This window comes from Homo sapiens, chromosome 12, assembly GCF_000001405.40.
Source record: "Homo sapiens chromosome 12, GRCh38.p14 Primary Assembly".
NCBI lineage: Eukaryota > Metazoa > Chordata > Mammalia > Primates > Hominidae > Homo > Homo sapiens.
This window is the reverse complement of record NC_000012.12, coordinates 106525916-106542061: the sequence shown is the minus strand read 5'-3', so window position 1 is coordinate 106542061 and position 16146 is coordinate 106525916. Positions and strand designations below refer to the sequence as shown.

Below are 16146 nucleotides of genomic sequence, written 5' to 3'. Positions count from 1 at the left end.
ATGCCTTGACAAAGAGCTCGGCTGTATTATGTTTGGGTCCTAGGGATCTGTGGAATTTTGAACTTAGAAGTGATGACCTAGGATATCTGGCAGAAGAAATTTCTAAACAGCAAAGTGTTCAAGATGTGACCTGGCTGCTTCTAACAGCCTATAATCAGTCATGGGAGTAAAGAAATGACTTAAAGTTGGAACTTTTTTTTTTTTTTTTTTGAGACAGAGTCTTGCTCTGTCACCCAGGCCGGAGTGCAGTGGCATGATATCAGCTTACTGCAATCTCTACCACCTGGGCTCAAGCAATTCTCAAGCCTCAGCATCCTGAGTAGCTGGGATTACACGTGTATACCACAATGCATGGCTAATTTTTTTTTTTTTTTTTTTTAAAGTAGAGATGGGGTTTTGCCATGTTGGCCAGGCTGGTCTCAAACTCCTGACCTCAAGTGATCCACCTGCCTCAGCCTCCTACAGTGCTGGGATAACAAGCATGAGCCACTGTGCCTGGCCCTGGAACTTATATTTAAAAGACAAGCAGAGCATAAAAGTTTAGAAAATTTGCAACCTGGCACTGTGGTAGAGTGAGTCCAAGCAGGTTGCAGAGCAACCACTTGCTAAAGAGATTAGCATGACTAAAAGGGAGCCAAGTGCTAATATTCAAAACAAAGGGGGAAAAAGGCCTGGAAGGAATTTCAGAAATCCTTGAGGCAGCACCCCCCATCTAGGCCCAGAGGCCTAGAAAGAATGGTTTCATAGGCCAGGCCTAGGGCCCCACTGCTCTCCACAGCCTCAAGACACTGCTCCCCACATCCAGGCTGCTCCAGGTCTAGCCTCAGCTTAAAGGTGCCCAGATACAGCTTAGGCCACTGCTCAAGAGGGTGCAAGCCATAAGCCCTGGTGGCTTCCACATGGTGTTAAGCCTGCAGGCATACAGAATGCAAGCATGAACAAGGCTTGGGAGCTCCCACCTAGATTTCAGAGGATGTATGGAAAAGCCTGGGTGCCCATGCAAAAATGTGCCACAGGGGCAGAGCCACCACTAGGTCAGTGCCAAGGGGAAATGTGGGCTGGAACCCCCCCAGAGTGTCCCCACCAGGCCACTGCCTGGTGGTGCTGTGGCAAGTGGGCTGCTGTCCTTCAGACCCAAGAATGGTAGAGCCACTAGCATCTTGCAACCTCAGCCTGGAAAAGCCACAGGCACTTAACTCCAAACTATGGCAGCAGACCTGGGGGCCACACCCTGCAAAGCCACAGGGGAAGACATGCCCAAGGCCTTAGGAGTCCACTGCTTGCACCAGTGTGCCTTGGATGTGGGACATGGGGTCAAAGGAGATTATTTTGGAGCCTTAAGATTTAACGACTGCTTTGCTGGTTTTCAGACGTGTGGGGCCTGAAACCCCTTTCTTTTGGCTGATTTCTCCCTTTTGGAATAGGAATATTTACTCAACGCCTGTACCACCAGTGTATCTTGGAAGCAAATAGCTTGGTTTTGATTTTACAGGCTCAGAGGTGGAAGAAATATGCCTTGAATCTCAGATAAGACTTTGGACTTAACTTGGGACTTTTGAATTAATGCTGGAATGAGTTAACACTTTGGGGAACTGTTGGGAAAGCATGATTGTATTTTGCAATGTTAGGAGAACATGAGATTTGAGAAGCCAAGGGTGGAATGGTGTGCTTTGGATGTTTGTCCCCTCCAAATCTCATGTTGAAATGCAGTCCCCAGTGTTGGAGGTGGGGCCTGGTAAGAGGAATTTTGATCATGGGGCAGATCCCTCATTAATGGCTTAGTGCCATTCCCTTGGTGATGAGTGAGTTTTTGCTCTTGTACTTCACACAAGATCTCGTTGTTTAGAAGAGTATGGCACCTTCACATCCCCCAACCTTACCCCTGCTTTTATCATGGGATGTACCTGTTCTTGCTTTGCCTTCTGCCATGATTGTAAGCTTCCTGAGGCCCAGAAGTTGAACAGATGTTGGTGCCATGCTTACACAGCCTGTAGAACTGTGAGCCAATTAAATGTCTCTTCTTTATAAATTACCCAGTCTCAGGTATTCCTGTATGGTAATACAGAAACAACCTAATACATTATATTTCAAACTTCCTAGGTTTCCATGGTTTTCTGTGTTGGCTCACTAGTGCAAATGGCTCAGATTTGCTTTGTGGTATAGCCTGAATATTTTCTATTTAAAAAGTTAGTTTATCCAGTGAAATCTATGGATACAACAGGTACATTTGGTGTTCAGTTTTTAAATTATATCTTATGCTATACTATGTATTTTTTATTCATTTAAAAAATATTTTTATTATGTTGACATGATTTGACTGTCTCCCCACCCAAGTCTTATCTTGAATTGTAATCCTCGTGATCCCCACATGTCAAGGAGGAACCTGGTGGGAGATGATTGGATCATGGGGGCAGTTCCCTCCTTGCTGTTCTTGTGATAGTGAGTTCTCACGAGATCTGATGATTTTATAAGGGGTTCTTCCCCCTTCACTACACACACTCTTCTCTTGCCTGCTGCCATTTGAGATATGCCCCTTCCCCTTCCGCCATGATTGTAAGGTTCCTGAGGCCTACCCAGCTATGTGGAACTGTGAGTCAATTAAATCTCTTTTCTCTATAAGTTACCCAGTCTCAGGTTGTCTTTATAGCAGTGTGAAAACTGACTAATACACGTGTGATTTGTGTTATCTGTATTTCATTCATTCTGTGAATGCATTTTTCTGATGATTGGGAAGATTTTTGGGGTTATTTTGTTATTTTAGTGGTTCATCCTTTTAAAAGTTATTTTAGTGATTTAATTTTATAAAATTAATTATTAAATATTGTTCTCTTTAAATAGCAATTAATGGCTTTTGACTATGTGCAATACAAAAGTTAGTATGTGTTCACCTCCTCCCACCTCCTTATTGTCTCTTCCTTCTATCACTAACATTTAATTTTATAATGATTTTTAGCTGTTCTAGTATTTCTCTTCATACCTTTAAATATCCTTTATATGGCTTTATACAGCTTTATACCCTTAAATGTCCTTTTACATCTAATTATTTGAATTACAGGTTTAAAAACTCCTTTGAACTCACATTATAAAATAATGTCATTTTTTCTCTAATCCTCTTTAAAAGTCAACCTCACTAGGGAACAATTTATACACAAGAAAATGCACACATTTTAACTGTATAGATGAATGAATCTTGATAAAGATATACATCTGTATAATCACTACCATAATAAAAATATTTTCATTATCCTAAAAAGTTCCTTTTTGCCCCTTCTCAATCAATTGCCCCTGCTCCCAGCCTCACACCACCACTGATCTGCTTTTTATCACTATAGATTAGACATGTCTTTCCTAAAGTTTCATAAAAATTGAATCACATAATACTTACTCTTTTACGCCTGGTCTCTCAGTATAATGCTTTTATTATATTGATCTAGTTTGTTGCATATATATGTAGGTTTGTTCATTTTTTAATTCTAAGTAGTATTCCTTTTTATAAATATACCACAACTTGTTTAGCCATTTTTATCTATTGGGTGGCTACCAGTTTTGGGCTATTACGAGTAAAACTCATATGAATATTTTGGTACAAATCTTTGTGTGTACATATGCTTTCATATCTTTTGGATAAACACCTTGAAGTGAAATTGCTGGGTCATATGGTAATTGCATATATAACTTTATAGGAAACCATCAAACAGCTTTCCAAAGATGGATTTTTACACTCCCTTTTACACTCCCATCAGCAATGTATGAGAGTTCCAATGTCCCTATATCATCACCAACACCATCAATTGTAATTGTCATATTAAAACATTTTAGTTATTCTAATGGTTATATTGATACTTCATTGTGGTTTTTTAATTTTAACATTCAAAATTGTTTCATTTATTATTTTACTGCCATACATGATTAAATTTCAGTTTAAATTATTCACTTCCTGTAATTTTTAAAGATAAACCTTTTATTCTAGAACAGCTTAAATTTACAATACAATTACAAAGATCATACAAAGTTCATATATACCTAATACCCAGTCCCCCTTATTATTAATATCTAACATCAGTATGGTACACTTATTAATGAGCCAACATTGATACATTTATTATTAACTGAAGTCAATTCTTTATCCAGATTTCTTTAATATTTTCCTAATGACCTTTTTCTGTTCCAGAATCCCAGTCAAGGTAACACATTACATGTAGTAGTCATGCCTCCTCAGGGTCCTCTAGGCTTGCTCTTGCCTCTGCCACTCCAACAGCAAGAAACCATATGCCATATGATTGCCACCATATGCCATCATTCACTTAATCGCTCAACCACAGTGTGTAGCGGTATCAGAATTGTTAACCCACAACTCCCTGGGGAAAACTGTATCAACTAGATCAGTGGTCCCCAACCTTTTTGGCACCAGGGATCAGTTGTGTGGAAGACAATTTTTCCATAGATGGGAGTAGGGGGCTGGTTTCAGGATGATTCAAGAGCATTACATTTATCATTAGATTCTCATAAGGAGCATGCAACCTAGATCCCTCACATGTACACTTCACAATATGAGAATCTATGAAATTCTCTCCTACAAGAATCTAATGCTCCCACTGATCTGACAGGAGGTGGAGCTCAGGCAGTGACGTTCACCCACCGCTCACCTCCTGCTGTGTGGCACGGTTCCTAACAGGCCACAGACCAGTACCGGTCTGCAGACCAGGAGTTGGGAAGGACTGAACTAGGATAAATGCTTATATACAGTTTCTTGTGCCTTTAGCCTTACAAACTTGATTCACTTCCAAAGCTACTTAGGTCAGCACCTTTCCCTACCTCCTTTAATGACGCTGCATTATACATTTGTAATACAGGTAGGTTTTTTTTTTTGTTTTTTTGTTTTTTTTGTCGTATTCTACATTCCATCTTGGGATCCCTCAACCTCCCAATTGTTTTTTTTAAAACTTTACATCCATTAAGGTTTATTCTTTGGGCTACAAAGTCCTATGGGTTTTAAACAAATGCATAGTATGTATTTTCCACTACAGTATTATATGGAATAAATTTCTCCACCTGGGATGGAGGAAAAACCTCCCGTGCTTCACTTTTTCAACTTGTCTCCAAACCCCAGCAACCACTGATGTTTTTACCACTTCATTTTTACCAAAAATTGTTGCCTTTTCTAGACTCTTTCACTTAGCAATATATAATTAAGTTTCATCTATGTCTTTTTATGGCTTGATACATCATTTCTTTTTATTGTTGAATAATATTCCATTGCATGAAAGCATCTTAGTTTGAATGTCTATTCACCTATTGAAGGACATCTTGGTTGCTTCCATTTTTTGGCAATCACAAATACAGCTGCTATAAACATTCGCATGTAGAATTTTTGTGTGTGCATGTTTTCAAATCAGGCAAATACCTAGCAGCATGATTGCTGAATTATATGGTAAAACTATGTTTAGTTTTGTAAGAAACTGCAAAACTGTTTTTCAAAGTGGCTATACCATTTTGCATTACCACAGCAATGCATGAGAGCTCCTCTTGCTTTGCATCATCATCAGCAATTTGTATTGTCAGTTTTTTGGACTTTTTTCATTCTATAGATGTGTAGTGGCATCTCACTGTTAATTTTTAATTTCCTATTGGCAAATGATGTCAAGCATCTTTTCATATGCTTATTTGCCACCTGTATGTCTTATTTGCTGAGATGTCTGTTCAGATCTTTTGGCCAGTTTTAACTAGTTCACCTTCACTATATAACTTCATGGTAATGAACATACCTTATAACAGAGTAGAGATTGCAGCTCTGACTCGGACGGACAGAGCAGCGTGCTGAGGCTTGCATCATGAATTTTAGCTCCAGATCAACTGCAAGAACAAACCAGCAATCCCGAGAGGACCCACAGACCCTCTGAAAAAAGCGGACTGCTCCTGCAGGACCAGGGAGACACCACAAATACCGTGAGTGCCCCAACTGCAGAAGTGGGAAAGGGAGAGCCTCCTCTCCCGAACACACACCCCCACTGGAGAAACTGAAGGTCTGTTTGCAGGAGAAGTTTCCAACTGTACCTGGAGCTGAGTCAATTTAGAGAGCTGAGTGAAATACAGGGGTACAGGAAGCAGCAGAAAGGCCCTGGGAGCTTGCTGGATCCCCAAGCAGGCCATTCTTGCCTGGCACCACAGGGATCCGTCAGGAAGGCAGCAGCCAGAGGAGTGGAGTGCAAGGGGAAACACTACAGGGAGAAGGAAATCTCCAGCTAACTTTGTAGCAATTTGAACTGGGTGAGAAGCCTCCTGGCTAGAACTTGGGGGAGGGTATGAATCCGGTGTGCAGACTCCACAGGTGGGGGAAGAACCAAGCCCCTTTCTTTCACAGCTGGGAGGTGGGTAGCCTGGGGCAAGTTCTCAAGCCCGGCTCGCCCACCACCTGGAAACAGATTCAGGGCTGTTAGAGGGGCATGGTGGAAGTGAGACCGGCCCTTCAGTTTGCATGGGAGCTGGGTGAGGGCTGTGACTGCTGGCTTTCCCCCACTTCCCTGATAACCTGCATGACTCAGCAGAGGCAGCCATAATCCTCCTAGGTGCACAACTCCATTGACCTGGGCACCTCACCCCCATCCCCCATAGCAGCCATAGCACCTAACCCTGCCACCACCTGATGGTCCTTCCCTACCCACCCTGGTAGCTGAAGACAAAGGGCATATAATCTTGGGGGTTCTAGGGCCCTACCCTCTGCTGGTTCCTCCCCATACTACCACAGCTGATTCTCTGGAAAGTGCCACCTCCCAGCAGGATGCCAAGCAGCACAAAAACAGAGCATTAAACCACCAAAGCTAAGAACCCTTACAGAGTCCATTGCACCCCCCTGCCACCTCCACCAGAACAGGCACTGGTAACCACAGCTGAGAGACCCATAGATAGTTGTCATCACAGAAGTCTGTGCAGACAACCCCCAGTACCAGCCCAGAATTGGTTAGAATTGCTGGGTGGCTAAACCCAGAAGAGAGACAATAATCACTGCAGTTTGGCTCACAGGAAGCCACATCCACAGGAAAAGGGGGAGAGTACTACATCAAGGGAACACCCTGTAGGACAAAAGAATCTGAACAACAGCCTTCAACCCTAGACCTTCCCTCAAACAGAGCCTACCCAAATGAGAAGGAACCAGAAAACCAACTCTGGTAATATGACCCAACAGTACTCTTTAGCACTCCCCAAAAAATCACACTAGTTCACCAGCAATGGATCCAAACCAAGAAGAAATCCCTGATTTACCTGAAAAAGAATTCAGGAGGGTAGTTATTAGGCTAATCAGGGAGGCACCAGAGAAAGGTGAAGCCCAATGCAAGGAAATCCAAAAAAATGATACAAGAAGTGAAGGGAGAAATAATCAAGGAAATATATAGCTTAAAGAAAAAATAATTAAAATTTCAGGAAATATTGGACACATAGGAATGCAAAATGCTCTGGAAAGTCTCAGCAATAGAACTGAACAAGTAGAAGAAAGAAATTCAGAGCTTGAATACAACATCTTCGAATTAACCCAATCCAACAAAGACAAAGAAAAAAGAATAAGAAAATATGAACAAAGACTCTAAGAAGTCTGGGATTATGTTAAATGACCAAACCTAAGAATAATCTATGTTCCTAAGGAAGAAGAGAATTCTAAAAGCTTGGAAAACATATTTGGGAGAGTAATCAAGGAAAATTTCCAAAGCCTTGTTAGAGACCTAGACATCCGAATACAAGAAGCACAAAGAACACCCGGGAAATTCATCACAAAAAGATCATCACCTAGGCACATTGTCATCAGGTTATCCAAAGTTAAGACAAAGGAAAGAATCTTAAGAGCTGTCAGACAGAAGCACCAGGTAACCTATAAAGGAAAATCTATCAGATTAACAGCAGATTTCTCAGCAGAAACCCTACGAGCTAGAAAAGATTGGGCTCTATCTTCAGCCTCCTCAAACAAAACGATTATCAGCCAAGAATTTTGTATCCAGTGAAATTAAGCATCATATATGAAGGAAAAATACAGTCTTTTTCAGACAAACAAATGCTGAGAGAATTTGCCACTACCAAGCCACCACTACAAGAACTGCTAAAAGGAGCTCTAAATCTGGAAACACATCAAAACAGAACCTCTTTAAAGCATTAATCACACAGGACCTATGAAACAAAAATACAAGTTAAAAAGCAAAAAAAAAAAAAAAAAAAAACCCAAAAAACAAAAAATACCAAAGTACACAGGCAACATAGAGCACAGTGAATGCAATAGTACCTCACATCTCAATACTAACATTGAATGTAAATAGCCTAAATGCTCCACTTAAAAGAAACAGAACCGCAGAATGGATAAGAACTCACCAACCATCTGCTGCCTTCAGGAGACCCACCTAACAAGTAAGAACTTACATAAACTTAAAGTAAAGGAGTGGAAAAGTCATTTCATGCAAATGGACACCAAAAGTGAGCAGGGGTAGCTATTCTTATATCAGACAAAACAAACTTTAAAGCAATAGCAGTTAAAAGAGACAAAGAGGGACATTATATAATGGTAAAATGCCTTGTCCAACAGGAAAATATCACAATCCTAAACCTATATACACCCAACACTGGAGCCCCCAGATTTATAAAACAATTACTAACAGACCTAAGAAATGAGATAGACAGCAACACAATAATAGTGGGGTACTTCAGTACTCCACTGACAGCACTAGACAGGTCATCAAGACAGAAAGTCAATGATGAAACAGTGGATTTAAACTATACCTTGGAACAAATGGACTTAACAGAAATATACAGAACATTTCATCCAACAACCACAGAATACACATTCTATTCAACAGTGCATGGAACTTTCTCCAAGATAGACCATATGATATGCCATAAAATGAGCCTCAATGAATTTAAGAAAACTGAAATTATATCAAGCACTCTCTCAGATCACAGTGGAATAAAACTGGAAATCAACTCCAAAATGAACCTTCAAAACCATGCAAATACATGGAAATTAAATAACCTGCTCCTGAATGAGCACTGGGTCAAAAACGAAATCAAGATGGAAATTGAAAAATTCTTCAAACTGAACGACAGTAATGACACAACCTATCAAAACCTCTGGGATATGGCAAAGGCAGTGCTGAGAGGAAAGTTCATAGCCCTAAACACCTACATCAAAAAAATGATGTAGCATGAGCAATCATTCTAAGGTCATACCTCAAGGAACTACAGAAACAAGAACAAACCAAACCCAAACCCAGCAGAAAAAAGGAAATAACCAAGATTGAGCAAAACTAAATGAAATCGAAACAACAACAACAAAAAATACAAAAGATAAGTGAAACAAAAAGCTGGTTCTTTGAATAGATAAATAAAATTGATAGACGATTAGCAAGATTAACCAAGAAAAGAAAAGAGAAAATCCAAATAACCTCATTAAGAAACAAAACAGGAGATATTACAACCGACACCACTAAAATACAAAAGATTATTTAAGGCTACTATGAACACCTTTATGCATATAAACTAGAAAACCTAGTAAGAGATGGATGGATTCCTGGAAAAAATACAACCCTCTTAGCTTAAATTAGGAAGAATTAGATACCCTGAACAGACCAATAATAAGCAGTGAGATTGAAATGATAATTTAAAAATTACTAAAAAAAAAAAAGTCCAGGACCTGATAGATTCACAGCAGAACTCTACCAAACATTCAAAGAAGAATTGGTACCAATCCTTCTGACACTATTCCACAAGATAGAGAAAGAAGGAACCCTCCCTAATTCATTCTATGAAGCCAGCATCACCCAAATAACCAGGAAAGGACATAACCAAAAAAGAAAACTACAGAATGGTATCCTTGATGAAAATAGATGCTAAAATCCTTAACAAAATACTAGCTAACCAAATCCAACAACATATCAAGAAGATAATCCACCATGATCAAGTGGGTTTCATACCAGAGATGCAGGGATGGTTTAACATATGCAAGTCAATAAATGTGATACACCACATAAACAGAATTAAAAACAAAAATCACATGATCATCTTAATAGGTGCAGAAAAGGCGTTCAACAAAATTCAGCATCGCTTTATGATGAAAACTCTCAGCAAAATCAGCATACAAGGGACATAGCTCAATGTAATAAAAGCCATCTATGACAAACCCACAGCCAACATAATACTGAATGGAGAAAAGTTGAAACCCTTCCCTCTGAGAACTGGAAAAAGACAAGGATGCCCACTCTCACCACTCCTCTTCAACATAGTACTGGAAGTCCTAGTCAAAGCAATCAGACAAGAGAAAGAAATAAAGGGCATCCAGATCAGTAAAGAGGAAGTCAAACTGTCACTGTTTGCTGATGATATGCTCATTTACCTTGAAAACTGTAAGGACTCCAAAAAGCTCCTAGAACTGATAAAAGAATTCAGCAAAGTTTCCAGATACAAGATTAATGTACACAAATCAGTAGCTCCTCTATACATCAACAGCAACAAAGCAGATAATCAAATCAAGAACTCAACCCCTTTTACAATAGCTGCAATAAAATAAAATAAAATACTTAGGAGCATACCTAACCAAGGAGTCAAAAGACCTCTACAGGGAAAACTACAAAACACTGCTGAAAGAAATCACAGATGACACAACCAAATGGAAACACATCCCATGCTCATGGATGGGTAGAATCAATATTGTGAAAACAACCATATTGTCAAAAGCAACCTACAAATTCAATGCAATCCCTACCAAAATACCATCATCATTCTTCACAGAATTAGAAAAAACAATTCAAAAATTCATATGGAATCAAGAAAGAGCTCATATAGCCAAAGCAAGACTAAGCAAAAAGAACAAATCTGGAGGCATCACACTACCTGATTTCAAACTATACTATAAAGTCATGGTCACAAAAACAGTGTGGTACTGGTATAAAAATAGGCACATAGACCAATGGAACAGAATAGATAACCCAGAAATAAACCCGAATACTTACAGCCAATCAATCTTTGACATAGCAAACGAAAACAAAGTGGGGAAACCACACCCTTTTCAACAAATGGTGCTGGGATAATTGGCTAGCCACATGTTGGAGAATGAAACTGTATCCTCATCTCTCACCTTACACAAAAATCAACTCAAGATGGATTAAGGACTTAAATCTATGACGTATAAAAATTCTAGAAGATAACATTGGAAAAACCCTTCTAGTCATTGGCTTAGGCAATGATTTCATGACCAAGAACCCAAAAGCAAATGCAATAAAAACAAAGATAAATAGCTGGGACTTAATTAAACTAAAGAGCTTTTGCACAGCAAAAGGAACAGTCAGCAGAGTAAACAGACAACCCACAGTCTGGGAGAAAATCTTCACAACCTATATATCTGACAAAGGACTAATATCCAAAATCTACAATGAACTCAAACAAATCAGTAAAAAAAAGCAAATAATCCCATCAAAAAGTGGGCTAGGGACACGAATAGACAATTCTCAAAAGAAGATATACAAATGGCCAACAAACATATTTTAAAAATGCTCAACATTGGCCGGGCGCGGTGGCTCACACCTGTAATCCCAGCACTTTGGGAGGCCAAGGCGGGTGGATCACGAGGTCAGGAGATCGAGACCATCCTGGCTAACACGGTGAAACCCTGTCTCTACTAAAATACAAGAAATTAGCCGGGCGTAGTGGTGGGGGCCTGTAGTCCCAGCTACTCGGGAGGCTGAGTCAGGAGAATGGCGTGAACCCAGGAGGCGGAGCTTGCAGTGAGCCCAGATCGCACCACTGCAATCCAGCCTGGGTGACAGTGTGAGACTCTGTCTCAAACAAAAAAAAAAAAAAAAAAAAAAGAAAGAAAGAAAAAAAAATGCTCAACATCACTAATGATCAGGGAAATGCAAATCAAAACCACAGTGCAATACCACCTTACTCCTGCAAGAATGGCCATAATAAAAAAAATCTAAAAACAGTAGATGCTGGCTTGGATGCGGTGATCAGGGAACACTTCTACACTGCTGGTAGGAATGTAAACTAGTACAGCCACTATGGAAAACAGTGTGGAGATTCCTTAAAGAGCTAAAAGTAGAACTACCATTTGATTCAGCAATCCCACTGCTGGGTATCTACCCAGAGGAAAAGAAGTCATTACACAAAAAAGATACTTGCACACACATGTTTATAGCAACACAATTCACAACTGCAAAATCATAGAAACAACCCAAATGCCCATCAATCAACGAGTGGATAAAGAAACTGTGGTGTGTATATGTATGTGTGTATATATGTGTGTGTGTGTATATATATATATATATACACACACACACATACATGTACACACACACACACACAATGGAATACTACTCGGCCATAAAAAGGAATGAATTAACAGTATTTGCAGTGGCCTGGATGAGATTGGAGACTATTATTCTAAGTAAAGTAACTCAGGAATGGAAAACCAAACATTGTATGTTCTCACTGATATGTGGGAGCTAAGCTATGAGGATGCAAAGGCATAAGAATGAGGCAATGGACTGTGGGGACGTGGGGGGAAGAGTGGGAGGGGGCCAGGGATAAAAGACTACAAATATGGTGCAGTGTATACTGCTTGGGTGATGGGTGCACCACTAAAGAACTTACTCATGTAACCAAATACCACCTGTAACCTAATAACTTATGAAAAAAGAACTCTAAAAATAACAGTTTTATTCACAATTCTATCACCCATTCCTTAGGTTGTTGCTGTCATTATTTCACTTGTCTATATACTATAATCAACCAATAAATTATTATTCTTTAAAAAATTACTTTTTAGGTCAATTAAGAAATGTATTTTATTTTACTTTCATTTATTCCTTCTCTAATGCTTTTTTTCTTTGTGTAGATGCAAGCTTCTGAACTATGTCATTTCCTTTCTGAAGAAAATCTTTTAACATTCATATTGGGCAGGTTTCCTGGTGATGAATTTCCTCAAATTTTGTTTGTCTGAGAAAGTCTTTATTTTTCTTCACTATTGAAGGATAGTTTTACTGAATATAGAATTCTAGATCAGTAGTCTTTTTCTTTGAACATCTGAAATATTTCATTCCACTTTCTTCTTGCTTGCATGGTTTCTAATGACAAATCCATTGTAAGTCTTATCCTTGTTCCTTTACAGGGAAGATTCTTTTCCCCCTCTGGATTCTTTCAAGAGTCTCTATTTGTCTTTGTTTTTCTGCAGTCTGACTACAGACTATATGCCTGGGTATAGCTTTTTGGTATTTATTCTAGTTGGTATTCGCCAAGCTTCTTGGATCTGTGGTTTGGTGTCTGTGATTAATTTTGGAAAGCTTTTGGCCATTATCATTTCAAATATTTATTTTGCTCTGTTCTCTCTCTGATATCCCATTATGCATATGTTCAGAAATTCTGAAATTCTTTCACAGTTCTTGGAGGTTCTGCTCTGCTATTTTCTCCTCTCTCCCCACCTCCATCTTTGCATTTCTTTTCTTTTTTTTTTTTGAGACGGAATCTAGCTCTGTTGCCCAGGCTGGAGTGCAATGGTGCAACCTTGGCTCACTGCAACCTCCGCCTCCCAGGTTCAAGTGATTCTCCTGCCTCAGCCTCCGAGTGGCTGGATTACAGGTGCCCACTATCACGTCTGGCTAATTTTTGTATTTTTAGTAGAGACAGGGTTTCACCATGTTGGCCAGGCTGGTCTCCAACTCCTCACCTCAAGTAATCCACCCACCTTGGCCTCCCAAAGTGCTGGGATTGCAGGCATGAGCCACCACATCTGGCCCATCTTTGCATTTCTATTTAGGATGTTTCTACTGATCTATCTTTAAGTTCACTGATTCATTCCTTGGCTGTGCTGAGTCTTCTACGAACCCAGTGAAGGCTTTCTTCATTTATGTTAGTATATTTTTGATCTCTAGAATTTTCTTTTAATTCTTTCTTTGAATTTCCATCTCTTCTTCTTACATTGCCCATTTATTCTTGTATTTTGGCTACTTTTTGCATTACAGCTCTTAACATGTTAATCACAGTTATTTTAAATTCTCTTTGTGATAATTCCAACATCTGTGTCATATCTGAGTCTGGTTCAGATGCTTGCTTTGTTTTTTTTCAGATTGTGTTTTTTTTTTCTTGCTTGTAGCTTTTTGTTGAAGTTGGACAGGACATGTTGTACTGGGTAATAGGAACAGAGCCTTTGGTGTGAGGATTATGTTAATCTGGTTAGGAGTTGGGCTGTGTGTAATGTTTGCTGTAGCTATAGGTGTCAGGGGATTCAAATTCCTCTAGTGTTCTTGTTTTGTCTACTCTCTTGACTTTGGGCTTCCCTAAGTACCCCTCATCAGAGAGTCTGTGTCTTGCAGTTCTTTCAACTATAATCCACTGTGATTGTATTGGAGCCCTGTTGGAGTGGTGGTATGGTGTGGGGGAGGGGAAGCATTCTATAACCTTATGATTAAATCTCAGTGTTCTAGTGGGCTGCGTCCCTGACCTGTGACTGTCACAAGTGTTTCTCTATTGGCATAGATTTTCCCCTCTGAGTCAGAGGAAGTTAGAGGGAGCTAAAGAGGGAGGAATGCTCTTCCGGCCAAGTGGGATAAAGCTCTGGTATAGTCCTTTCCCTTGGAGAAAGGTTCAGGATATCTAATTCTTCCTGATTTAAGCTAGAAGGTTCTTGGTCATGGAGAACACTCTAGGTGTATTTCACAATAACTCTTCCCCTGCCCCTGCCAGAGCCGTAAGGAGATCCTTCTGGCATCTTAAGCGTGGTAATCTGGTGGGCTTACTGGAGGTAGAGCCCACAAAAATGTGAGGGACTCCTAAAACCAAAAGCCCCAGAAACTTCTCACTCTCAGGCTAGTCAACACTTCCCTTCTAGGAAGTCATGAAAATTACCATTTAAATTTTCCCACCACTTTATGGCTCCCTTGGCTTCTGCTCCAGGTAAGCAGATCTCAGATGTGTCTTCTGCATTCCTCTGTGTCTCTAGATTTCAGGGCACCGATTTGCTCTACATACCCAGTTCTCTGATGGGCCCAAGAAAAATTGTTTCTTTTCAGTTTATTCCATTTTTTCTCGTTGCAAGAATAGAAATGACAGACTCTGTATTCTTTACATGTAAGAGGTGAATTTGAAAGACCTGTAATTCTTTTTAACACTTTAGTCACATCTGTGTCATGTACAGGATCCTAGATGAGCCCTCACAAATATAGCCATTATATTGAAGGGACTGGCCTCTACTGAGTACAATTAAAACAACTTTCTCCTGCAGTCTCTTTAGATCTGCTTGTGGGCTAGTTATTTTCCCAGCTCTGGATGAAATGTCAGGCAAGATTAATTGCCTTCTGGCCAGTATTAGATTAAAAATTTTTAAATCTAATTTGTATTTTCAAAGCTTTAAGGAAAGAGGGAAAGAAGCTCCTGGGATATAAGTGAAAAAAGGGAAAACAGTATGTAATATTTGATCCCATTGAAAGAGAGACCCATTTCTCTATATACTGCTATGGTGGAGTCTCATGGATATAATGCTGGGTGAAGAAATCAAGGTGTAGTAGCATATTTCTGTTTTTCAAGGAGGATAATATATGCACGTATTTTAAAAATAATAAAAATATTAACATAAAAATTAAATGGTTACCTATAGGGTAACAAGGACAGGTATAGAAGCCAGAGTTGTTTTAATATGGCTTGCATTATAAATTTAACTTTGAAGCCACATAAATATTTCACCTTAATAAAAAATAAAATTAAATAAAAATCAAATTCCTAAAAATCCAAATCAAATTAAACAAATAAACCTAACTTTACGTACTATTGGTGATAACCTCACAGAGAACAATTCTAAATTACTATACAACCAGTCATTGACTGTGTATCCCTAGTATGATATCCTATAGAAACAGAAAGAATTGTAGCTGGATGTGGTGGCTCCCAGCATATGGTGAAACCCCATCTCTACTAAAAATACATAAATTAGCTGGGTGTGGTGGCACACGCCTGCAATCCCAGCTACTCAGGTGGCTGAGGCAGGAAAACCCCTTGAACCTAAGAGGCGGAGGTTGCAAGTGAGCTGAGATCACACCACTACACTCCAGCCTGGGCAACAAAGCAAGACCCTGTTTAAAAAAAAAAAAAAAAAAAAATTGTAAAGCCACAAATATATTACAC

General features: G+C 39.5%; 1 long non-coding RNA gene across 1 annotated transcript in view, besides 2 other annotated features; it reads left to right on the top strand.

The window, feature by feature from the left end:
- Positions 1 to 16146, top strand: part of LOC100287944 (uncharacterized) — a 278422-nt gene that overhangs the window by 232770 nt on the left and 29506 nt on the right. The window lies entirely within an intron of this gene.
- Positions 400 to 989: an enhancer, noted in NCBI's record as "NANOG-H3K27ac-H3K4me1 hESC enhancer chr12:106934851-106935440 (GRCh37/hg19 assembly coordinates)". NCBI's record gives its function as "activates a minimal SCP1, AML or CMV promoter by ChIP-STARR-seq in primed H9 embryonic stem cells {active_cell/tissue: H9 hESC(primed)}" and the evidence as "EXISTENCE:reporter gene assay evidence [ECO:0000049][PMID:30033119]".
- Positions 5920 to 6419: an enhancer, noted in NCBI's record as "H3K4me1 hESC enhancer chr12:106929421-106929920 (GRCh37/hg19 assembly coordinates)". NCBI's record gives its function as "activates a minimal SCP1, AML or CMV promoter by ChIP-STARR-seq in primed H9 embryonic stem cells {active_cell/tissue: H9 hESC(primed)}" and the evidence as "EXISTENCE:reporter gene assay evidence [ECO:0000049][PMID:30033119]".